The 25,802-nt window shown below is 38.6% G+C and overlaps 1 long non-coding RNA gene across 1 annotated transcript in view, besides 1 other annotated feature; it reads left to right on the top strand.

Moving 5' to 3' along the window:
- Positions 1 to 1,914: 1,914 nt before the first annotated feature.
- LOC105379168 (uncharacterized) overlaps positions 1,915 to 25,802 on the top strand; it is a 273,909-nt gene continuing 250,021 nt past the window's right edge. Inside the window, exons 1-2 of the long non-coding RNA XR_001742460.1 lie at positions 1,915 to 2,786; positions 4,035 to 4,104. This is a non-coding gene — a long non-coding RNA (uncharacterized LOC105379168). The remainder of the gene's footprint in view (positions 2,787 to 4,034; positions 4,105 to 25,802) is intronic.
- Positions 10,999 to 11,523: an enhancer, noted in NCBI's record as "NANOG hESC enhancer chr5:128006634-128007158 (GRCh37/hg19 assembly coordinates)". NCBI's record gives its function as "activates a minimal SCP1, AML or CMV promoter by ChIP-STARR-seq in naive H9 embryonic stem cells {active_cell/tissue: H9 hESC(naive)}" and the evidence as "EXISTENCE:reporter gene assay evidence [ECO:0000049][PMID:30033119]".

Below are 25,802 nucleotides of genomic sequence, written 5' to 3' on the forward strand. Positions count from 1 at the left end.
CTTGTTGACTGGCTTTGACCAAAATGCTGATAGTGAAACGGACAATGAAGTCCAGGATGAGGTGGTCTCAGATGGAGATGAGGAACTTTTTGGGAACTGGAATAAAGTTGACTCTTGCTATACTTTAGCAAATAGACTGGCAGCATTTTGCCCTTGCCCTAGAGATCTGTGGAACTTTGAACTAAAGAAAGATAATTTAGGGTATCTGGCAGAAGAAATTTCTAAGCCCCAAAGCATGCAAGATGTGACTTGGGTGCTATTTAAAGCATTCAGTTTTATGCATTCACGAAGAGGTGGTTTGGAATTGGAACTTATGTTTAGTAGGGAAGCAGAACATAGAAGTTCAGAAAATTTGCAGCCTGATGATGGGATAGAAAAGAAAAACCCATTTTCTGAGAAGAAACCCAAGCTGGCTGCAGAAATTTGCATGAGTAAAAAGGAACCAAATGTTAGTCACCAAGACAATAGGAAAAATGTCTCCAGGGCCTATCAGAGGTCTGCATGGCAGCCCATCCCATCATAGGCCCAGAGGGCTAGGAAGAAAAAATGGTTTCCTGGGCTGGGCCCAGGGCCTTGCTGCTTTATGCAATCTTGGGACTTGGTGCCCTGTATCCCAGCCATGGCTAAAAGGGGCCAACATACAGCTCAGGCCATTGCTTCAAAGGGTGAAAGCCCTAGTCCTTGTTGGTTTCCACGTGGTGTTGGGCCTGTGGGTGCACAGAAGTCAAGAACTGAGGTTTGGGAACCTCTACCTAGATTTCAGAGGATGTATGGAAATGCCTGGATGTCCAGGCAGGAGTTTGCTGCAGGGGTGAGGTCCTCATGGAGAACCTCTGCTAGGGCAGTAAGGAAGTGAAATGTGGGGTCGAAGCCCCCACACAGAGTCCCCACTGGGGCACTGCCTAGAGGAGCTTTGAGAAGAGGGATACCATCCTCCAGACCCCAGAATTGTAGATCCACCAACAGCTTGCACCATGTGCCTGGAAAAGCTGCCGACACTCAACACCAATATGCGAAAGCAGCCGGGAGGGAGGCTATACCCTGCAAAGCCACAGGACAGAGCTGCCCAAGACCATGGGAACCCAGCTCTTGAATCAGTGTGACCTGGATGTGAGACATAGAATTAAAGGAGATCATTTCCGAGCTTTAAGATTTGACTGCCCCTCTGGATTTCAGAGTTGCATGGGGCCTTTAGCCCCTTCATTTTGGCCAATTTATCCCATTTGGAATGGTGTATTTGCCCAATACCTGTACGCCCATTGTATCTAGAAAGTAATTAACTCGCTTTTGATTTTACAGGCTCCCAGGCAGAAGGGACCTGCCTTGTCTCAGATTAGACTTTGGACTTGGACTTTTGGGTTAAAGCTGGAATAAATTAAGACTTTGGGGGACTATTGGGAAGGCATGACTTGCTTCGAAGAGTGAAAGCAACATGAGATTTTGTAGGGACCAAGAACAGAATGATATGGTTTGGCTGTGTCCCCAACAAAATCACATCTTGAATTGTAATCCTTATAATCCCCATAATCCCCATGTGTCAAGGGAGAGATGAGGTGAAGGTAAGTGAATCATAGTGAAGGTGATATGGTTAGGGTTTGTTTCCCCACCCAAATCTCATCTTGAATTGTAATGCCCATAATCTCCATAATCCCCATGTGTCAAGGGGAACACCAAATAAAGGTAATTGAATAATAGGGCTGGTTTCCCCATGCTGTTATCATGATAGTGAGTGAGTTCTCAGGAGATCTGATGGTTTTATAAGGGGCTCTTCCACCTTTGCTCAGTACTTCTCCTTCCTGCCACCTTGTGAAGAAGGTGTTTGCTTCCCCTTCTGCCATGACTGTAAATTTCCTGAGGCTTCCACAGACATGCAGAACTGTGAGTCAATTAAACCTCTTTCTTTTATAAATTACCCAGTCTTGGGCAGTTCTTTACAGCATTATGAAAGGGGATCAATACATAGGATTAGACAAAGATTTCTTTAAGGGATATTAAAAGCACAAACCACAAAAGAAAAATATTGGTAAATTAGTTATCAACACAATTAATAATAGTTCTGTCATTCTAAAGACAGTATAAAGAATGAAAAGGCAAACTTTACCATACATATATTTGACTCAAGTATTAGTATGCAGAACATGTAATGAATTCCCCTCTCTCAATAATATGAAGACAAATACCATATTTAAATCTTGGCAAAAGATTTGTATAGGTATTTTTAAAAGAAGATATATAAAGCCCAATAAGCATATGAAAAGATACCCAATGTCATTAATTGGTCATTAGAAAAATGCATATTTAAACCTTAGTGAGATGACACTATACATCCACTAGAATGGTTAAAATTATATAAACTGACAACACAAAAATTTTGCTAGTACATGGAGTGCCTGGAACTCGTATATTTTTAGTGGGAGTGCAAAACTGTGCAACACCTTTGGAAAACAGTTTGGTAGTTTTTGTAATCTAGTTTTTATATAGTTAAACACTTACCAAAGGACTCAGCAATTCCATTCTTAGGTATTTCACCAAAGGAAATGAAATCACATGACCATACAAATATTTGTACAACTTGGTCCTTAGATATATAGGATGATGCATTCTAAATTCTGTTCTTAATACCCTTTGTTGGTCAAGAATTTTAATTAGATTTACTATTCTTTTCCTTTCTTAAAGGACACACCCAGAGGATCCCATAGTCATGGGCTTACTTTGGTACCTCCCTTACTGTGCAGTGGACAGATGCTCTCCTGGTCTGATCCTATGCTGTGTGGTATTTCATGATGGTGGGTCCAGCATTCCATAAGCCATCGGATAGTGGTAGTGGTACAGGCAGAGTAGAGAAAGCAAAGGTATAATAACGATACATGCTGTATCCAGGGATTATCATTGTCAAGATTGTGAAACTTCCCTTTGGCTTACTATGCATAGTTTATTTATTTTGCATGGTTTATTTGCTTTGCATACTTATTTTCCCCAAACTTCTCTGGGTGTCAGGGAGTTTAGGCTGCTCTCAGAGGCACATCTTCAAACACTTCTATCTAGAAACTTAAAATTATATAAAATTATCACCCTTTCATCTTCCCTCACACTTCCTTCCTTAGTGGTCTGATCTCAGCAAGATGTTAAGGAGGGAGGTGATACGATATATTTTTGAATAAATGTAAATGATAACAAAATTTAAAATGTGTTACCTTTCTTGGAGTACCTTCCTTTTAATCAACAAAGATAGTCACAATTTCTTTTTTAATGTCACTGACTCAGCATAATTTTAACATATTTTCTAGGTATTAAACTTAATAAATTTTTATGTAGAGAGACTTCAATGAAATTTTAATTTACATCATATGTACAATTTCACATATTTATAAGGATATTCCTGGATATATGTAAATAAAATTTTTGCCAGAAGATATTACTAAAAAATGTAGAAGTCGAATCAACTCTTTTAAATTCAGCTTTCTAAAATGTAGATAAAGGCAGTCTCTTTATCATCTATAGGGAATCAGCAAGGATGAATGAGAGAAGTATTTTATTTTTTCCAGAGAACATCTACATATTAATACAATTTGTATACGCTTTTACAATAAATGGTCTGGATTAAGGTTTCTCTCCCTTATGACAACCCAATCTCTTGAGTATATCTTTCTACTGTAAATGTCATGTAAAGGAGCAATTTACATAGTTCATGGATCAGAATTTCTTCAGAGAATTGTGAGAACCTCTTAAAAAAGCTGGGTAAAAAAAGTCAAATTAATTCCAAACGTTTTATGCTTCACTTAGTGTTTACCTTGCATTTTTATTCGTTACTGAGAAGAAATGGCTGTGTGTACATAAAGAGTTTTTCTTATGTCTAAATTCTACAATATCATATGTGCATTTTGACTGCTGACAGGCTAGCCTAATGGCATTTTGAATTATGTTTTTATTATATACTATTAGTAAGGACTGCTTAAGTTTACTTTTCATTAATATGCAGTTAGGCATTTTGTGCTGTTCATTGTTATTATATGTAACAATATTTACCTTTCTAGGCATAGAAATGAATCTCTTCTATCAAGATGAAAACTACAAACGACTGTTTCCATGAAAGTGAGAATAAAGGTAAAGTTGAAAATTTTACCTGGTTCTAGAAATTTTGGAGAAAAGCAGCAGCTATGCTGGGTTAAGAGGTCTTTTAAGAGGAATAATTTGTGGAACAAATCTTTACAAAACCAGAACCTTCAAAGAGAGAATGTCAGATTTTAAAAATGATATATAATGTTTCTAGGTTGATTCCACACATGAACCCCACATTCCATGGATATGAAATATCTTTTTCAAAATCCATTCTTGTTTTGGTATTCTAGACTCACAACATACACTGATATATAATTCCATAAATCTAAAATTTATATTAACTCTTCCCTTTCACTCACCTGCCAAATTTAATTGGTCACCATCTTATTAATTTCACCTCTGAAATTAGTCTTGAACTCATTCATCTCTTTATCAAGTTCCCCTGTTTTCTTCTGAATTATAATAATTTCCTGAATAAATTCCCAATCTATGATTCTCTCAATTTCTGGCTGATATTTTACTGCATCTAGAATGATCTTTCTTAAAGGCAACTCTGCTAAGGCACCCACCATATTACATATCATGCAGTAGACCTTGAAAACCTACATCTAGGATCCCTAAACTTGGATAGCCATCAGAATCACAGGAGGAATTAATAAAAAGTATAGATTTATGAAGTCTGGATTGGAGTCTAGAAATTTTGCATTTTCACAGCTTCTTAGGTGACAATAATTGATAGTTTCCTATGTGGTTTGAGGATCACCCTCTTTCCTAGAAGTGGGAAACAGTGATCTACAGAATGAAGAGTAAATTCCTTGGCATCATGCTGTCAGCCTTTCATTATGTGGCCCCTGGCTGCCTTTCCTTTCTCATCTCTACCAATAACCCCAACAACCTGGTGCTGCAACCATGTTTAAATACCTTTTAGTTTCTTCAACTGTATGTTAAAGCAATTTTAAGTCTTCATTAATATTGTTTCCATTGCCTGGCGTGCCTTCCCCATAATATCCACCTTGTGAAATCTATATTTTAAGACTCAGTTCAAACATCAAGCCTTCTAGAAATCCTTTCTCTATTTCCCCAAGCAGGAATAAGCAATTTATCTTGTGCATACCTTCATTATAATATTTACAACAACTTGGAAGTTTACAACTCATAGACACAAAAGTCTACAAGGCCAGGCTGCTAACATAAATAACATAAATAACCAACAAAGTGAAGACTGTGGCAAACAGGAGAGTTTAAGCCTTATCTAAAGGGCAAAATTGTGCCCACAGTCCTTCATGGTAATGACCAATGAAGTTGATCAGCAACTGCTGTGTTTATTATTTTTCCAAGAAAATTCCCTCCCCTCCACACATGTGCATTCATACATATTATGAGAAAGTTCATGAGTTCTGAATTGGCATCTCTTCCTCCAAAGGCACTGTTCATCCTTCTGTATCATGTCCTCGGCCTCAAAATGTTGACCTTTGGGTACTCTATCTATGAGATCCCTACAGTTTGGCCAATGGGAGGCACAAACAGGAAATTAGACTGAGGACAAGAAAATGAGGTCAAGGCTTTTATTCCCCTTCTCACCCCTCTACCCTCATATATTGGCTGTATTCCTCTACTGAAGCCCAAAGCTCCTGCAAGGCATCTCTCTTCACACATTTCTCTGGGCTCCAGTAACAACTTCCACTGTCTATTTCGAAAGCCTTCTCCAGGCTTGTAACAATGTTAGTCAGGGTTCTCTAGAGAGACAGAATCAATAGCATAGATAGATAATAGATAGATAGATATGAGGGGATTTATTAGCAAATTTGACTCAGAGATTATGGAGGCTGAGATGTCCCATAGACTATCTCGAAGCTAGAGACCCAGAAAGGCCAGTAGCACAGCTCGGTCCAAGTCTGAAGGCCTCACAACCAGGGAAAGAGATGGCATAACACTCAGTCTGAGGCCAAAGGCCTCAAAGTCCAAGAGACCACTGGTACAAGTCCCAAAGTTCAAAGGCCACAGAATCTGGAGTTCTGATGTCCATGGGCAGGAGAAGAAGGGCATCCCAGCCCCAGAAAAGAAAGACAAAGAATTCATCTTTCCTCTGCCTTTTTGTTCTATCCTGGTCCCAGCTGACTGGTTGGTGCCCGCCCACATTGGGGCAGATCTTTTCACTCATCCCAGTGATTCACACACCAATTTCCTGTGGATACACGCTTGCAGATGAGATCTGGTAAAGAAATAATGCTTTACCAGCTCTCTAGGTATCCCTTAATATAAGTTGACACCTAAAATTAATCGTTATAAATCCACCCCAGGTCAATTTGACACCCATACTCATCTCCTTAAACCATACTAAACCTTCAAATAAAGACAATAACAAGGTTCCACCTATCAATCTAACATGATGCAGCTATCCTGCATTCAAGCGAAAATCCACTAATGTCTTCCTCAGAAGAGAAGGTAAAGTCCTTGAGTGATGTTTACAGTTTGCTGATTACTCATAAACTAATGATATAAAATTAACAATATTTAAATGCTAATATAAAGTTGATGAATCTTATGTTACATGATAAATGAATGAGAGGAGCAAAAACCAAGATATTTGCTTACTATATGTATATATACACATAAACCTATCTTTAACAAAATAAGGAGGAAATACGACAATTACAATCCTCGTTTCTGTAACTGGTCACATGATCATAGCTGGTATTTATAAGTACCTTCTTCTAGTACCCATTCTGTATTCCCTTTGCCTTCAGTAAGCACCTCAGTTGGTTATGGTTCTTTACCTGGAAAGATAACACAAACCTTCATTCTGTAAGGGTCTGGGCCATTTGTAGTCCTGCCTGGTCTGGGTTGTTATAATTTCCCACTCACCTTTATCACAGGGTATAGTAATTCTAACAGATGCCCTAAGAGATCTTATGTAATCTGACATATTCATCCTTATTGCCGTTGTTGAGTAATAGTCTAATTTTTTGTTGATAATCTGGATCAATCACCACTGCCAACACAGTAATTCTCTTCTTAGTCTGTTGACTCAGGGGCGTGAAGAGTCCAGAATGGCTAAGTGGCAGTCTGAACTTCCAGTTCAATGGATGCATTTTTGTGTTTCTTAGTGGAAGCATTCCTCCTTCTGGAACTCTAGGGAGCAGAACATAAAGTCACCACAGGAACAGAAGCAATAATTTTGCTAGTGGGTCACTAGGAGTAATGGTGAGGTGGTGTCACTTTCATTTCTACTCTTTGATCTCTGGACCCATGAATCTTGGCCATGGGAGAAACAGAACCATATATTGGATGTTGATTCAGAGCATATGCAACCTTCTGGAGAACCTTGCTCCAGTTCTGCAAAGTATTGTCAGCTAGATGGCACTGTAACTTAGTCTTCAAAAGGCCATTCACCTTTCTATCAAGCTGGCTGCTTCAGGATGATGAGGAACATGGTAAGACTACTGAATTCTGGTGCTTGAGCCCATTGGCACATTTCTTTGGTCTTGGGGTGAGTTTTGTGGTCAGAAGCAATGCTGTGTATAATATCGTGATGGTAGGTAAGGCATTCTGTAAGTCCGTGGATGGTAGTTTCGGCAGAAGCTTTGTATGCCGGAAATGCAAAGGGAAGGCAGATCTATATCCAGAGTAATGTCTATTCCAGTAACAACAAAAACGCTGCCCTTTTATGATGGAAGAGGTTGAATATAATCAACCTGTCAGGTAACTGGCTGATTAGCCTGGGGAATTGTGCCATCTTGGGGGCTCCATGTTGGTCTCTGATGCTGGTAGTTTGGGCAATCATCGATGGCATAACCAGGTTGACATTGCTGAGTGAAAGTTTATGTTGCTCAGCTCATGCATCCACTCCATTCCTGCTACCATGGCCACATTGTTCATGAGCTTTTTGGGCAATGGCAGGGTTGGCTGGGGAAAGCCACCACCAGTTCTAAATCAACAGTATGAGTCATCCTATCCACTTGATTAGTAAAGTCCTCCTCTGCTATGATTTGGTGAGCATTCACATGAGACACAAATACCTTTATGTCCTTTGCCAACTCAGAGAGGTCTGTCTACATATCCCTTTTCCAAATTTTTTTCTTCTTTGTTTCTATGAGACAGAATCTCACTTTGCAGCCCAGGCTGGAGTGCATGCAGTGGCATGATCATGGCTCGTTGCAGCCTCAACCTGCCAGGCCCAAGTGATCTTCCTACCTCAGCCTCTTGAGCAGCAGGGACTACAAGCACACACCACCATGCTTGACTAACTTTTTGGTTTTTGCAGAGATCGGGTCTCATCATGTTGCCCATGATGGTTTTGAACTCCTGGGATTAAGCAATTCTCTTGCCTAAGCCTCCCAAAGTGCTGGGATTATAGGCATGAGCCACTGCACCCAGCCCCAAATTTTCTTTGTCATGTACTTCCCAATTGTCAGTTTGGTTCCTTCTCAGTCCCAAACTCTATCCAGCCAAACCATTGGCTACAGCTTATAAATTGGTATATAATTGCACATCTGGCCATTTCTCCTTCCAAGGAAAGTGTACTACCAGGTGTACTACCTGAACTTCCACCCACTGAGAAGATTTTTCTTCACCATTGTCCTTCAGACATGTCTCAGTAAGGAGCTGTAATGCTTCAGTTATCCTCTTTCAGGTGGTGCCTGCCTATCTTGCAGAACTGTCTGTAAACCAGGTCCTAGTCTTCTCTCCCTCTATCAGCTGATCATAGGATACTCCCTATGAGGCCATAGGTGCAGGTTTGGAGAGCGAGGGCAGTGTGTCAAGAGTAGGAACCATGGGCTCTTGGGCCACTTCTTCAAGTAACTTACTTATGCCTTCACTTGGGCCATATGGTCCAGCAGACCCAATGATATTTGATGTGTTAGTGGAAGATGCTGTTTGGAGCCTTTGGCAGCCCTCTGTAGGTGAATCACAGCACTGGCCTTTAGGATTTGGAGCAAGGCCCTGCCATCACCCACAGATAATTATTCTTCTTTCGGGAAACAGCTCTTGGCCTGTTACTGGGCTTTAGTAGAAACTGAACATTTGACCATGGGCCACTAAGTTACTACGTGACCTGAGATGACCATGTGGTCATGAACTGGGTGCTACCTGACCAAACACTTCATAAAGCTGGGTGTGCACAAAAGCATTTCATCATCAAACGGAAGTGACATATACATGATCAGGCCCAAGCAAGCCCCACAAATTATGTAGCTGATTCTTCTGACAGTCTTAGATCCTATTAGTCACACGGAAGACAGGAGATATGGCCTTGAGTCCACGAAAAGTAAAGAGTTTGAATTGATAGTCTCGTGTATATCAACATCATTAGAAATCCACATTCTCTGTGAAATGGAGGACTATGAAGAAAATATATGGTAGCAAAGAACAATAGTAAGCAAAATCTTCTATCTCAGCCTGGGTTCTGTGTGGGAAACAATGAAATTTCCCTGAATTTTTTTTAAAAAGGAAAGGCATGCCCTCGTGTAGTTATTGGGTTTGAAATAATTTCTCTTTATTTATAGTCAAGGAAATCCTAAACCAAGATACTTATTCAATGATGCCAGAGTGGTAAGGTATCATTTTCAAGTGATACCTTATTTGCTTATGATGGTAGGTGAGGCATTCTGTAAGTCCATGGATGGTAGTTTTGGCAGAAGTATTGTATGCAGGAAATGCAAAGGGAAGGCAGATCTATATCCAGAGTAATGTCTATTCCAGTAAGAACAAAAATACTGCCCCTTTTATGATGGAAGAGGTTGAATAAAACCAGCCTGTCAGGTATCTGGCTGATTAGCCTGGGGACTGGTGCCATCTTGGGGGCTCCATGTTGGTCTCTGATGCTGGCAGTTTGGAAAATCATCGATGGCATAACCAGGTTGACCTTGCTGAGTGAAAGTTTATGTTGCTCAGCTCGTGCATCCACTCCATTCCTGCCACCATGGCCACATTGTTCATGAGCTTATTGGGCAATGGCAGGATTGGCTGGGGAAAGCCACCACCAGTTCTAAATCAACAGTATGAGTCATCCTATCCACTTGATTAGTAAAGTCTTCCTCTGCTGTGGTTACTCTTTGGTGAGCATTCACATGAGATACAGGTGCCTAAAGGCACTTGAAAGAAGCAAATAAAATCCTTAACTCAGAACTGATAGGATTTCCATAGGGAAAACATAGACATTCAAATGTGAGTACATAATTCAAAATTAAAAACATGGTAAAGAAGAATAAGACCTGGTGCAATGGCTTATGTCTGTAATCCCAGCACTTTGAGAGGCCAAGCTGGGAGGATCACTTGAGCTCAGGAATTGGAGACCAGCCTGGGCAACATAGTGAGTTTCACTTGTGTCCCTGTGAAGAGACCACCAAACAGGCTTTGTGTGAGCAACAAGGCTGTTTATTTCACCTGGGTGCAGGCGGGCTGAGTCCGAAAAGAGAGTCAGTGAAGGGAGATAAAGGTGGGGCCGTTTTATTGGATTTGGGTAGATAAAGGAAAATTACAGTCAAAGGGGATTTGTTCTCTGGCGGGCAGGAGTGGGGGTTGCAAGGTGCTTGGTGGGGGAGCTTTTTGAGCCAAGATGAGCCAGGTGAGTTGAACAGTCCAATTTTCAGTGGGGTCCCGCACAGATGGGACATGGCTTAGGAGGAATCCCGGGCTGTGGGCATTCCTTGGCCTGGTGGCCAGATTTCTGGCCCTTGTAGCAGGCTCCTGGGGGAGGCAGGCTCCTGGGGGAGGCGGGCCTGGAGGAATGCCTGGCCACGGCAGTTTGGGCGTTTGGAAGTTCTTGTGTGCTGGAGATGTGGCTGGGGTTTCTCTCACAGTGGAGGCAAGGAATTGCAACTCAGAAATATGTTGCTACTTGGCTGCCTCTACTCTATTATTGTACACCTAGAAGGTGAGGTTAATTAAGTCCTGTTGGTTCGAATCCGAGTCACAGCACCAAATTTCACTCGCGTCCTTGTGAAGAGACCACCAAACAGGCTTTGTGTGAGCAACACGGCTGTTTATTTCACCTGGTGCAGGCAGGCTGAGTCCAAAAAGAGAGTCAGCGAAGGGAGATAAGGTTGGGGCCGTTTTGTAGGATTTGGGTAGATAAAGGAAAATTACAGTCAAAGGGGGTTTGTTCTCTGGCGAGCAGGAGTGGGGGTCGCAAGGTGCTCAGTGGGGGAGGTGTTTGAGCCAGGATGAGCTAGGAAAAGGACTTTCACAAGGTAATGTCATCACTTAAGGCAAGGACTGGCCATTTTCGCTTCTTTTGTGGTGGAATGTCATCAGTTAAGGCAGGAACCGGCCATCTGGATGTGTACAGGTCACAGGGGATATGATGGTTTAGCTTGGGCTCAGAGGCCTGACAGTGAGATCCTGTCTCTACTACAAAAAAAAAAAAAAAAAAAAATAGAGTGGTGTGGTGGTGTGCATCTGTAGTCCCAGCTACTCAGCAGGAAAATTTGAAATAAAATGAAAAGAGAATGGTCGTTGGTCGGAGTAAAGTGAAGCTGGAAAAAATATTTTCTTGTTACTTACTATTTGTGTGATATTGTACAATTTGTTTCCTGACCCTCAATTTTCTTAATCGATGTGTGAACAATAATATTTTTCTTCTAATTATTATGTAAGAATTTAATGAGACACATAATTTCTTCATGTAATATGCTCATGTGACTCATAATTTGCTATATATATTTAATTCCCTTACCTTTCTCTTAAAATACAAGATAACATTCATTCATTCATTCTCTTAATAAGTAGAAGCACCTGCTAGGTTTTACTGCTTATACTAATTAAAACACCAAAATCTTTAAACCTGTTTTTTGTAAAGACCCCCAAAGAAAATAAAATATGTATATAAATGAGTTGTCCAATGCAGATCACATCATAATTAATATAATTCTGTCCACTAAATTATGTTCCTAAGAAGCTGTAGTTCGCAACCTAGCAATGAGATAATCTCTGAAGCATTTTACTATGAATTAAGAAATAAAGGGGAGAATACATAGCAGAAAAAAGAACCACAGATATGGAGTTAAATCAGAAGGAGTCAGATTCTAATTCCATGCCAATTGGATAGACTTCCCCAGTCTTCGTTGAGTAGCTCTCCATATGTCTCCAATTTAAACCAGGCCACTCCCAACAGGAGCTCTACCTCAAAGAAGGCTGAGAAATGGCTGGATGTCAGCGTCCTCAGGGTACTTAAAATACATTTGCTCTGACAGGATCTTGAACACCTGCAGTTATTTCAAAGGAATTTTGATCCAACAATAATTCACATAATTTATCATCTAGAGATGCCAAAGATTCTTTGAAAAACTATGCTGTAGTTAGCAAAAGAAAAAAAAAAGAAAAAAGTGATGGTGGGTGGCATTATTTTCACATAGGATGTTTTTACAGGCATCATTAAATTCTTGTTTTTTCTTTCCAGTCTTTGTTTCTCCGTAGTTGAAACATTGACTGTGGATGCATTTTTGAACTTTATTGTGTGTTTACAGTGAACACATACAAAGGAGCTATTCTTTTCTTTCAAGGGACCTGGGCTTTCAGTTTTGTTTTCATCTCAGATGAGAGCATATCTGAGAATCTCACCTTAATAACATTTACAATTTTGAGAAATTCCATGATTTTTCTTTTAACATAATCACACTGAGATTTGAAAATATTTAATGCATCTGAGAAGAATATGTTTAGTCAGAAAGAATAAGGGTTTGGATTCTTTACAGTTCCAGTTGTAAAATAAATGTCTTTCACCCAAATTTAGGGCTCTGGGCAAGCTGGGACAGAAAGGACAGCGTGTTGTGATTCCCTTTGTAAAACCAGTCAGATGTGCTCAAGGGGAAAAACTGGGGAGAAACTAGCAGTCTTGACATTGTGGATTGTGGGGAACCAGGTTTGTTTGAGACAAGCTAGGGAACTATTGGATCCAGTTAGCATTCAGAGAGAGTAAGAGAATTGATGCTTCCATAGGTAGACAGATATAAAGTAAAGCTTATGAAACCAAATCTACAAAAAGGCTCCAGGTCATCATTAGCAGAAAAGTTAATTAGAAAACGTGCTTTGAAAGTTAATTTCTTCAATAGTTACCTAACTTCTATCTTTGCTTTAAATAGAAACAACTTTATTAAATAGACAGAAGGCAGCTGTCTGCTGTCATAAAAAAACTTTTTAAAAACAAAAATTTATATATTGATTCCCCTGAGAGGTGTTTGGCTGCTACTCTCATAGCAGCACGTGACTGAGATAAGTCTACTATTGCTGTTCAGCTAGTCCTCAGTAGAAAACAATGAGCATAGGATTTCAGCTTTCAGGGTGAAGTCTATTTCCTGGAGAAATAGGGAAACCTCTACATTTTCCCCTTTCTCAGATTTTTCTTATTTAACAGAAATGATACTCCGTAAGAGCAGAATTGCCAAATATTAGTGTTCTTTGTAGCGGGTTAAATAATGAGTATTATTCTGACTCTACATCCTGAAAAAACCTGATCTTTCATAGATTTGCATGAATCAATCAGGATTCAGAAAGGTTGGTTAAAAGACATAGGATACACAAAAATAAAATCCCATTTTCAGATTGGATCAACTTGCCATGGAAATTATTACCAACATCATTTTTGTGTAGCTCTTCCAAACCTCAATTTGGCTTTCTTGCTTGGAAACACATAATTGCACAAACTATGCTCCCCAGAGACACTTTCCTGCACCTGAAAAAAAATCCAGTTATGCCCACAGACATGAACAAAAGAGCATGGATAGCCGAAATGAATCTCTCTTCCAAATGGGTAAAGGGACTCAGGCAGTGGCACATTGAGGTATTAAACATGTACTTTTTTTTTTTTTTTTTTTTTGCCACATTGATTGACCTACCAGAAAGCAGAATTGAAGAATGTTGTGGTTTTACTTGGGAGGTGGGTTCAAAAGCTTTTTGCTGCTAAATGGTATGGATAATTTGTATTTTATTTTATGATGAAAAATAGACTTATCCTGACTGAAACCTCTTAGCAAAAACCCTTTCCAACTTTTCAGCGAGGTTCTATTGAATCAAGTGCTTTAAGTTGATCTTCAGTTTCTGGCTTCAGAAAAAAATACCATGTCCATTCTGAAATGGAACAAAGTTTAAACACAGCTTTCTGGGTGGTTTGACACAATTCTAAACTAAAGACTTGTGCACTCACAGCATGACCAAGATTACCTCCCCGCCTCCTGCTGTTTCTTTATGGTGGCCCTTGATTGCAAACCTGCTATTACAGCCTTCTGGAATCCTTAACCCTTTCAAAGTAGTTTTTTTCCTTCCTGTCTTTCTTAGTTCGCTCCATATTTTAGAGATGGGTCTTGCTGAATCATCTCAGAATTTGTGATTTTTGTAGACCTGTCACACCCTCTAGGCTTTCATGGTACAATGAAGTTCATTACATTTTAATTTTTAAGTCATATTTTTATTATGAAAGTCTGCCTCAGATTTTATGAGTGAAATGAATGTTGGTTCAGAGCATGGGATCTAGGGCCAAACAACACTACCTGGGTTCAAATCCATGCTTTCCTTGTTAGCTATAGTATGCTTTTTGGACTGTTTTGTCTTCTGTAATTAGTTTTTTCATATGTAAAAAGGTTCAAAACCAAAGCTACCTCAGAGAGTTGTGAAGAGTAAATAAGCCAATGCATGTAAAGTGCCTAGAACTGTGTGTGGCACATATGAGCTCCAGAAATGTTAGCTATTACTGACCAAAAGTAGAATGTGATGTTTCAGGTGTGGGAAAGAGTAAACTTTTCAAAATTTAAATGATTCTCAGGATCCTGTGAATGATTGATACAGACCATCTAGTCACATTGGTAAATGTCATTAAAGACCAAGATTCGAGGTATTTAAGTTTCTTTTTATGTAGAGTAGGAATAGATATTTTTTTATAAAGACTTAGAGGCAGCCAAACATACCTATCATATAAGAATCGACCATATAAAAGTATTGGGGGGGAAAAAACTATAACTAGTTATCGAATGTGTGTTTCCTCCTAGGACTGTGAAATCAATGATACTCTGAGATATGCAGGGATATAGCTCCCTGCTGCCCCATAGTGGCAGTTGTTGTCAGTACAGTTTCCTCCCTGCAGGTCGTTAGTGGGGCTCCATGGAAATTCAACCAGTAGATTGCTAGGAAGGTAAATACAACCTACTGTATTCTTATCAGTAAAGGCCAGTGGCAATAATAGATAAGAAGAAAAGAAACAAGATCCCACCCACATAAGAAAAGAAATGTAAGTATCAGAAAGAAGTATCCTGTGAATTAATGTTGCCTGAGAAAAATGCCATTAATCCAAATGGCATGAACAGAGTGGCCCTAAATTGCTGTGAGCCTACATGAATTACTGCAGATTGGCTCTTGAAAACCTGCTACTTTATTCTCACTGTCTGTTTGTCTATCTATCATCTAAATTATTTTTCAAGCAATACTACCCTTATAGTATGTAGGGGCACTTTGAAAGCTAGTAATTTGGTGACACTTCAAGCCATTATATTTGAAAAACATTTTTTATTCTTTATTTAGAAAAGAGACTGAGCTTACAAAGGCAAGTCATGATGCATGGCACTGAGGATCATAGCTACCTTAGCCACATCTCTGCCCTCCTGAGCAATTCAGCTCTGCCTCCAAACTTGCATTTCCTACTCAGCAAAGTGAAAGTTCTATGAGTAAGTCAATTCCCCATTCTTAGAAAGCAATTTGTGATCATTTACTGTTTATAGACAACATTACCTATCAATACCAAGCAGCTTATCAAAGTGTTAACTCTGCACATATAGGTCTCTAATAAGGGTCCTGGTCGGTAGATACTTCCATATCTCACTGTAATTTCAGTCAGATTTTGGCAACTGCTAGTTGTTAGTGTCTTAGTTGCCTGTCTGTGCTTTCCCCAGGCTTCAAAACTTGGATTTTATCATCTGTCATGTTCCCACATCCAATATGTTGCCAGATTTGGTCCATCTGGTCTTGCAATATGACCTCCCACCATGCTTTTCTCTGCATTCCCCTGACACTGCCAAAACCCAAGCTCAATTACATCTCATCCAAATTTTGCCACAGCCTTAAACTTATCTCCCTCCCATCCTCTGTAAAGAAACAATGTGGTAGATTGAAGATATTATATGTTTTGGAGTCAGAGAAACCTCAGTTTGAATTCCAGTTTCACCACTTACTTTGCTGTGTGATCTTTGGCAATTGATCTTAATATGCATCTTAAAAAGGAGAAATAATAATCTCTTCAAAGAATCTAACACCCTGTTTGGCACAGTGTTGATACTTTAAAATGCCAGTTACCATTTTCCTTTCCCTTCTCTGTGGAAGATTCAAGGGCAGGCTAGAAGAAACCATCTCGTTGGTTACAGGTAATAAAATAGTGCATTTTAAATTACAGAGAATTTAAAGTTAACTGTGTAAATAACTGAAAGAACATTTGTTTGTTATTATATCCTGCACTTATAACCCTAAATAATGTCAGTGATAAAATGCTTCTCTTCTAAAAAATCCTTTTTTGGTATATGTTCTAAAGAATAGCTGCTATTGTTGTTGAGTTTCAACAGTAACATCAATTTATAGTAGCTTAAAATCAGCACATTTATGTTACCTACCTTTTGATAAGGTTTGGCTGTGTCCCCACCCAAATCTCATCTTGAATTGTAGCTCCCACAATTCCCATGTGTTGAGGGAGGTACCTAGTGAGAGGTAATTGAATCATGGGGGTGGGTCCTTCTCATACTGTTCTCGTGATGGTGAATAAGTCTCATGAGATCTGATGGCTTTATAATGGGGAGTTTCCCTGCACAAGTTCTCACTTTGCCTGATGCCATTCATGTAAGAGATGACTTGCTCCTCCTTACCTTCTGCCATGAACGTGAGGCCTCCCCAGCCATGTGGAACTGTGAGTCCATTAAAACTATTTCCTGTATAAATTACCCAGTCTCAGGTATGTCTTTATTAGCAACATGAAAACTGATGAATACACTTTCAATAAACACTGTATTGTACATAGGCATTAATCCAGAGAACTTTCAGTTATACAGCTTACCCCTGACATACAGATTCAGTCTTTGCCCACAGAGAACATACATAGCAGGTTGGAAGTATGCAAGCATGTTCCAGGCGTGATTCAAGTATTCCGATCTTGTAGTACTACCTATTCCTGCATTTAAACAGTTGATCTGAAATGAACAATTATAACTCAAGGTCTGTGAAGATAAAAAAGCAGAATTTGAATTAATTCCATTTCATGACCATTAAGAGTTATTTGCATTTAAATTTTCTGAAATTATTGTGAAATAGGATTTTTATGACTCTCTGCCAAACTTATGTCTGAGACTGTTTGAAACAACCTGTAGTATATTGGTTGCTTCAGATAAAATAAAATTTTGAAACTTAAAATTAACAAAACATGTTCTTTAGTCAACTTTGAATGAAGAGAGATTGATAAATATAGCTATATTTGCTATGGAACAGGAATATGAAAAACTATTGATTTTGATAAAGTTGCAGAAATCAAGGCTTTTAACAGAAACTGTAATGTTAATATTCATTATTGTGTCAAATAAACATGCATGTATAAGATTTTTCTCTTTTTCCAAAAATATTTTAGACATTTACAAGTGTATACCATAATACATACTATATATTGCTCTCTTTTACTGATTTTGTTTTTAATTTTTTTAGTGGTATAATTACATTGTAAAGTTTTAGAAAAGAAAATCTTAATGGTTCCATTTCTTTTCTAGCCATTGTCCTTATTTATCTCATTTTATGTTTATTACTGAAAATAAGTTTGTTATAAAGAGGAGGTAGGTGTTAAAAAGTGATGCACTTTATGTGTCAAATATAGCACCAACCCATCTTAACTCCAGGCCTCTCTCTTCAATTCTTTTCAAATATTAATGTCACTTATTTTTCTTGAGGCACAAATCTGATCATGCCATTTGTCTGTCAAATATTTTCTGGGGCATATTCTTTCATGCTGAAAGAAAGTTGCATGAAACTGCATTAGTGTGTGGCATTCATGGATTACCACCTCCTTGGGAATGCCATCTCCCCATCTTCTTTTCCTGTGTCCATAACTACTTGCAAGTCCACAAACAGGCCCTTTCAGGCCCTGCCTCCCACCTGTGCATATTGTTAACCTCACCTGGAATGCCTGGGCATCTTCTTTCTTCGTCTTCTCTAATCTTGTACTGGACCAACATCAGATTTGGGCTATCCTTTCATAAAACCTCTCCTGATGCTCCCAGGGAAAAAAAAATCATGCTCCTTTCCTCAGAATTTTCAGAGCTCTTGGGTTATGGGAATTTTCTTTTTCCTCTAAATCCCTTCATCTCTTGTGGTGTTTGTACATTTCTATTATATTATAATAACTTATTTATATTTCTTTTTTTAAATTTCTCCTTGGGGTAAAAGCTCCTAAAAGGCAAACTTCGTATCTTATTTATCTGATTCAGAGAACCAACAAGGCTGCTTGAGTAGGCATGGTGCTTCTTCTGCTTCAGTTTGCCCTTGCTGGATCCCCTAAAACTCCTAGCTGAGTGATTCTCATTTAGCCTGGGACCTGAGAAAGCCCTGAAGTTTTGCATGCAACTGGGTGTTCACATGTGTAGCTGTCAGATGAGCTGGACTCAAAGGGATTTAATCAGCTGCCATCCTTTCAAGCATGTCCAGTGGGCTAGTTTTTCTTGCCCTTGGATATAATTTTCGCAATTTTAATAAACTTTCTGATTCTTTTCAATCATAGCTACAATCTTATTTCAGAAACTGCAAAGTCCTCACAATGTTGAATTTTACCTGAGTCTTGTGCTATTGGTAAACAGTGATGGTTAAGAAATTCTCCCACTGTTTTGTGTTCTGAAGTAGCTCTTTGGACATTACCACCCTGCCCCCTGTGACTTAGAGAAGACTCGATGACTCTTTGTTTACCTACGACACAGACTGCAAATTCTCATTCTTTGACTTAGAAATAATTCATTGAACTACTTGTCCCTACTGGTCAATCAGAACAAAATACTTATTAACCAAACTTTTGTTGAGTTTCCCTCTTTCCTCCAGGGCCCTGAGCTCCCCTCTCCCCAGCCTGAGCTACATACAAGGTCTCCTGAGAGTAGGCTGGCTTCAAGGCAAAACAATCTCTGATCATACCATTCTTTCATCCACTTGTCAACACCAGTTCTTTGTAGCCCTGTCCACTCCTCCCGATAGCAGATACACTCTTTGCCTAACCCTTGAGGTGCTTTCATGTCTTACTGTCAGAGTGTTCTCCCTACTGTAATCATCCCATGCCTCTATTGCAATAGTCCCTTTCCTTACCTTGCAATAATCCTTTGAAAGAAAGTCTCTCCTTACAAAGTCCAGATACGTTTTGTATTTGACAGTCCAGACCAGAGTAACAATAAAAACTGCAAACTCTTTGGTAATTTAGAACTTCCCTCTGCCCTAGCTTTGAATGGCTTTAAGTCTGGAAAGCCCATTGTCTTTTTTTCTCCTTGCTTTGCCAGCACTTCACAATTTACTGGCTAAGATTCTGATTCTTTCACACCTGGCTGGGGGAAAGGCGATTTGTGAAAGAGACTTTGGCAGGTATTGTTGAAATTTGGTACTGGTGGCTCACCAGGGCTTTTTCTTCTTGGTACATTTTTTGTGGGTTTCCAGGAACGTTCCACTTCTGGAAATATCCAATGTCACCTTCCCTCATACAGCCAGCCACCTCGGCCCCCAGGCCTTGGAAGTCCACCTTTTTGGGGGGTCATTTTGCTCACTGACATCTTTCCTCACAGATAGTACTACTGGGCAGAGCCCTTTTAAAGGGAGCCTAGGCCAGTTTCCTCCTGTGGTGCCCTTTGGCTCAAAGGACTGCTCACCTATCTTGGCAGAGAAGCATCTTGTTCCCAATTCTGCCCTTTCTCTGCATTGCTGCTCCCAGCCACTCAGGGTCTTTGTATTTCTGTCATGACATAGAGCCTATTTCCCTGTGTCTCCCAAGCAAGTACTCTGAGTGGATCCCCTGTAGCCCTACCACTTGGCTCCACTTCTTCCCTTCCCCACCTGAAGCAATGAAGAAAACACCTCAGCCCGAACTCCTCGCAGCATTCTCTCACCTTATGTTAATGTTCTTTTCCCCTGAACCTCTTGTATTACCTGCAGCTACATGAAGCATAAAGAGTTAGGGTTAGTTTTTGCAAATCCTGCATAGGTAGTGTAGTACCTTAGTTCCGAACATGGAGGTATGTGGTACCTACCTTTGGGCCTTTGAACCTCTGCCAAAACTATGCAGGAAAACTCCCTTTTACATATGGTTATTTATTTATTTTTCTGAAGCAATTTGGTCAAAGGTGTCAACACATTCTTAAAAATGATCTCCAATCCAAAGAAGGTTAAAACCGATGGGTCACACTAGATGGCCTATCATACACCTTCACGTCTCCCCTGTTGTTCACTCAGCCTGGTCAGTGCTTATTCTTTCTTAATTTAATACATTTCTCTTCATCATTCGAGACCTGGTAATGGCACCCTTTCTTCTCTAAAGTCATTCCTTCCCCTGTCACTCCTCCGTCTTACAGAACAAATTCCTGCCTTCCATGTGCTACCAACCAATGTTACCCATACCTCTGCATGACATGTCACTTTTAGTTAATTCTTTAACTCAACATATACTGACTGAGTGCCCCAGATGTGCCAGGATCTGTGTCAAGCAATGAGGATGTGTGAGGTGGACATGGTCGCTGACCTCATGGAATGTTTTCTCCTCTCCTTGTTTGTTTATTGTTTTGAAGAGACAGAATCTTGCTCTGTTGCCCAGGGTGGAGTGCAGTGACACAATTATGGCTCACTGCAGGCTCTAACTCCTGGGCTCAAGTGGGAGCCTGGCTAATTTTCTTTATTATTATTATTTTTTTTTGTAGAGATGAGGGTCTCACTATGTTACGCAGGCTGGTGCCTCAGCCTCCCAAAATGCTGGGATTGCAGGTATGAGCCACTGTGCCCAACCAACATTGTCTCTTCTGCTATATCAGGAATTCCTTGATGGGAGAGTTTTCTGTTTATTAATCTTTAATCCTTGCTATGTGGCTTATAGGAATGCTCAGTATATTTACTAAATAAATTAATTAATGGACTTACACACAAAGCCTTAAATATGTTGACTTTTGTGACCCTGAATATAACAAGCTTGTTTAAACTGATCAGGCAAAAAAGATGATAAATGTCCCAGAAGAAAGAGGAAGTTTCACGTGATCTGAAAAAAGCTTGTGAAACTAACTTCACGTTGAAGACCCAGAGTTTCTGGCCTAGGAGCTGTTGTGGTTTTGGAATGATTGTTGAATGACCAACAATCATTCCAGAGAGATACAGTAGAAGGAGTCCTGCTACTACATTTTTGTCACATTCTTTAGCATTTAAAATGGTAGAGCGCTGTTGATAAATTTTGTGATACAACATTCGCTCAACAAATATTTAGTGAGTACCTACGACATGGGAAAATGTGTACTTAGCAGTGGTGACAATCAAATCAATTATCTACCCTAGAAAAGCTTACAACCTGATGAGAAAAAAAAGAAGCAAAAAATGATATAATATAAAGCAAAATGTATATCAGATAAATATGTAAGTGATGATATGGGAAGTTCCAGTGGTGGAAAATAATCACATAGATTATGGTTCTGGAGAAATAAACTTCCCAAAGATGATACCATTGGAGCTGAAACTTGGAAACTGTATAAACTGTGAAAAGCAGAGCTCTTCAGGCAGAAAAGAATAAGAACAAAAGCAGGAAGATGAGAAAGTACAGCTTATATTAATTGATCTGTGGACATTTACATGCATACATTTTTCAACATTAAGCATTTCCTGTGTAGTTTGTCATTGGTTTCTAAGTACTCACTTTAGTCGCTAAAGAACAAAGTGATTCCTCTATAGCTTGAGGTACCCTTGATGACCTTATAGAGCAGTCACTCTGGGGTATGTTTAAAGACTTTGGGGAAGCCAGGGGCTTTCCTTCTCTTTGGTGTCTGCATTTACTTAGTGGGAAGCAGTGCATGTGTTCACACTTCTTATTTAAAGCAAAAAATTTGCAACAGTTTTTGTCTTGTAACTAAAGTCTTTTCATATTTTAAAATTGCCATCGACTCTGTGTATAGAGTCACTAAAACCAGATCTGGGTCAGTATGTTCTTGGGATCACATTTAAACTCAGGGACCACCACTCACCCAGCCTGGGAAGGGTCACGGCTTTATCAGTCACATACTTGAATCAGAATCAAAATAGTTTTCCTCTTAGCTTAGCCTTTTTCTCCCACATTTATCTGCATTCTCCTGTGTTGATTTCTTTGTGTTTTTGTAATCTACTTCTCTCTAAATTTTTTTTTTTGGCATACTTCCACTTTGTAGTCTGTCTCCATAAACCCGGGAAAATGGACACTTGCCTGTTTTATTTCTCTCAGTCTTTAAATCTGATTGCTGCTCAACTGGTACGGCCGGTTCACATTACTCACTAACCCCCCTGTGGTGTAGTGCCCTGGTAATAGCGGCCACTTATTAAATTCCTTACTAAGTGGCAGTCTTTGGGCTAGCTAATTCACATCATTTATTTCATTAATCCTCATTTTAATTCTTAAAGTGGATAATATTTGTTCGTAGATGAGGAAACTAAGGCTCAGGGAAATTAAGCAAAATTCTCAGCAAGCATCAGGGCAGAACATTCTAACACAGTCTACCTGCCTCTGAAGCCTCTTTCTCTGTATGATCCTTGAGATTCATGATGTGCAGTTAAAGTTGGGTGTATTAAAACAATTCACCATATAGAAAAAGGAATTGATAAATACATAGGGGGAATATAGATTCGAATAGCTGTATTGAGCAATAGGCAGTCATTTTGTTTAGACTACTGCCATAAGTGTTACTACAGCTCATCTCTCTTTTTCGTGTTTTTTTCTGTCACTGTGCTCAAAAAACAGGACTAGTGAAATACAGTTCAGAAATTACTTGCACCCACAGGATGAGCTTAGACAGCCTCCCATCTCTACTTCCTTCTCTGCAGATGAGGAAACTGAGGACAGGGGAGGCTAAGTCAGTGCCTGAGGTAACATAGATGAGGGTAAGGGAAGACTGGAAGATGAGTTCCTGACCTCTACCACGGTATGTTACCAAAACATATGGAAATTCTTGTTGAGACAAAACTCAAGTCAATGCAATCCAATTGTGGATTATTGCAGAATTAGCTATAAAATACATGTAAATATCAGGTACAAAATTTTCTCCTCCATTTATTCATCATATTTACCCATTTCATCTCCTTTTTATTCTTATGTACAGAATTCTCATTCCATTCTCACATTTTCTCTTTGGCATCTGTAACTGTTCAATTGTTTCTTAAGTGTCAATCTTAATATATAATATATTTATAACTTATTTATTTTTGCTAACTTCAGTAAGATGTGTTTATGTTTTTCTCTACACATCCTTTTATGTGGTTAGCCTTTGTGATACCATATTAGTGTTAGTGACTCTTTTGGAATTATTTCTAATGTTTGATTATTTTTGGCTTGTTAGCTCTGTCTTTTTTACTGCTTTGGTATTTTATATTAGCCTGTCATTTTATCATTGTTATGTAATCTATCATCATCCACTTTTTATTTCCATAAAACAAGCACTGTTGATGCATTTTGTCTTTCCTAAATATTAGCAGCATAGGTTCTATGGTTAAAATATGAGCTGTGGGCTCAATACTTGCCTCCATCAGTAGTTAGCTGGACAACTGGATAACTGAGGGCAAGTTACTTAATCTATTACTTCTTCAGTTTCTTCAGCTGTAAAATGTGGATAATAATTATCTTATTTCATATATTTGTGAGGATTAAATGAGATAACATATTTGAATCCATTATGTAAAAATGCATTCTCAATTTTAAATTGTATCCCAAAACATTCATTTTGACCATATTCAAGAAACAGATATTCTCCCCCTTTCTACATGTATATATTTTTTCACAGATATCTCTAGAACAATGATAAAAGATATATTTAGAATTCTTTATAATCCTACTACTATCTTACGAAATCAACTTAAATTTTTTTTTACATAATAATAATCATAGGATGGCTACATTTGGAATTCTCCTCGTTCATGCAATAATTATCATATTTCTTAAAATGTTAGATTTCAAAAGTATAATTTTAGTGCTATGTAATACTCCTAGGAGTTGATAATTTGCCATTTATCTTAATTTTACCCCTTGTCATTCAACATCTGTGTGGTGGCAGAAAGTGCATGGATTTTAGAGTTAACAGAGTTAGTTGATTTGAATACTGGTCAGGTAATATTCAGCAGGCTATTTAACGTCTCTGAGATTTACTTTTCTTATCTGTAAAAATGAGAATAATGATTTGTATCTCCCAGGATTATTTTATTTTGAAAAATTAATGCGGGCAAGGCTCTGACGCAAAGTATTTGCTGAAATATTTCCCTCCCACCCCATTCCACAATGGTTCTTTTCCACCCTACTCTCACTCCAATTTTTGCTCAAATATTTTCTTAAATGGAAGATATGTTGGATAGTATTAAAGAAAAGAATTGGACTGGATATGTTATATTTTACTAAGATGCTATATTATCAATTTTAAACTGAGCTCAACTAGGAAATTCTTTTAAATGTTACTCTTGTATTCAAAATTGATCTGGGATTTTTTACTTACTTCATAGTATTGAAATTAAGAAGTAATTATCTTACTTTGAAGCCATCATAGCAAAAACAAACAAAAACTGAATTCCCATTCATACCATGTTACAAATCTATTTGATACAGTTATTATCTATTTAGTTATTTCATCTTCAAAGAAAAACTACAGGGGCAGATTTAGAAGTTTGTGGCTGTGCCGACATCTTTCCTACTATAAGTTCCAAAGGCAACATTCCAGTAGATTATTTCAACTTTATTATTTTAACATAAAAATAATTGCATCAGAATTTTCACAATAAATTCACAACTGGAATGGGTGATAATTATTCAGATCTGTTTCCTTACTTGCCAAGAGTGTATTGAGGTATCATTAATTCTCTATGTCATTTCTCAGAGGCTTTTCCAATTTTAAAAATATCTGATGGAATATAAGAACAAAGATTTACCACAAACTAACTTCCTGGAATTGCAAATGAAATCACCAAACTATGTGAATGAATTTTGGATCCATGCCTAATGCTATTCAGCCACATCTTTTCTTTATCATGATTCTCTCTGAGAATGTCTCATTGCACAGGGCATTGAATAGCTTCCCTGGGTAGTTTTGTTTTGTTTTGTTTTTTCATCAGTAGTTTACCTAAAATACAAATGGCATTGAATTCGCAGTTAATAAAATATATTATATGGCACATTTTACTAGTGAAATGACATTAGAGTGAAATATTTTCATCTAAAATTATGTATAAGGATTGACTTAAGAATGGTTATTTCAGGCTATTAGATAACAGAAGTTCCAGGAGATATACTATATGGTCAATTATTTGAAAGGTTAAAAATCCAATTTAATTGGGAATATTATTATATGATGATTATATTTATTATTATATATGATTTATGTTAGAATCGTGCCTGAAAATTTTTGTTAAGCTTCCAAACTGGCACCGTTCATAGTAACCATCATAAGGAAGAGATAGTACAAGAATTGAAGCCCAGCCTCTGAAATATTCTGAGCCGAACTTGCAGTGACGTTCAACTTTCAGCTCCACAGCCTCTCTTGCAATCTTTTAGCAGCAGGCACTGA

This window comes from Homo sapiens, chromosome 5 (assembly GCF_000001405.40).
Source record: "Homo sapiens chromosome 5, GRCh38.p14 Primary Assembly".
Lineage (NCBI taxonomy): Eukaryota > Metazoa > Chordata > Mammalia > Primates > Hominidae > Homo > Homo sapiens.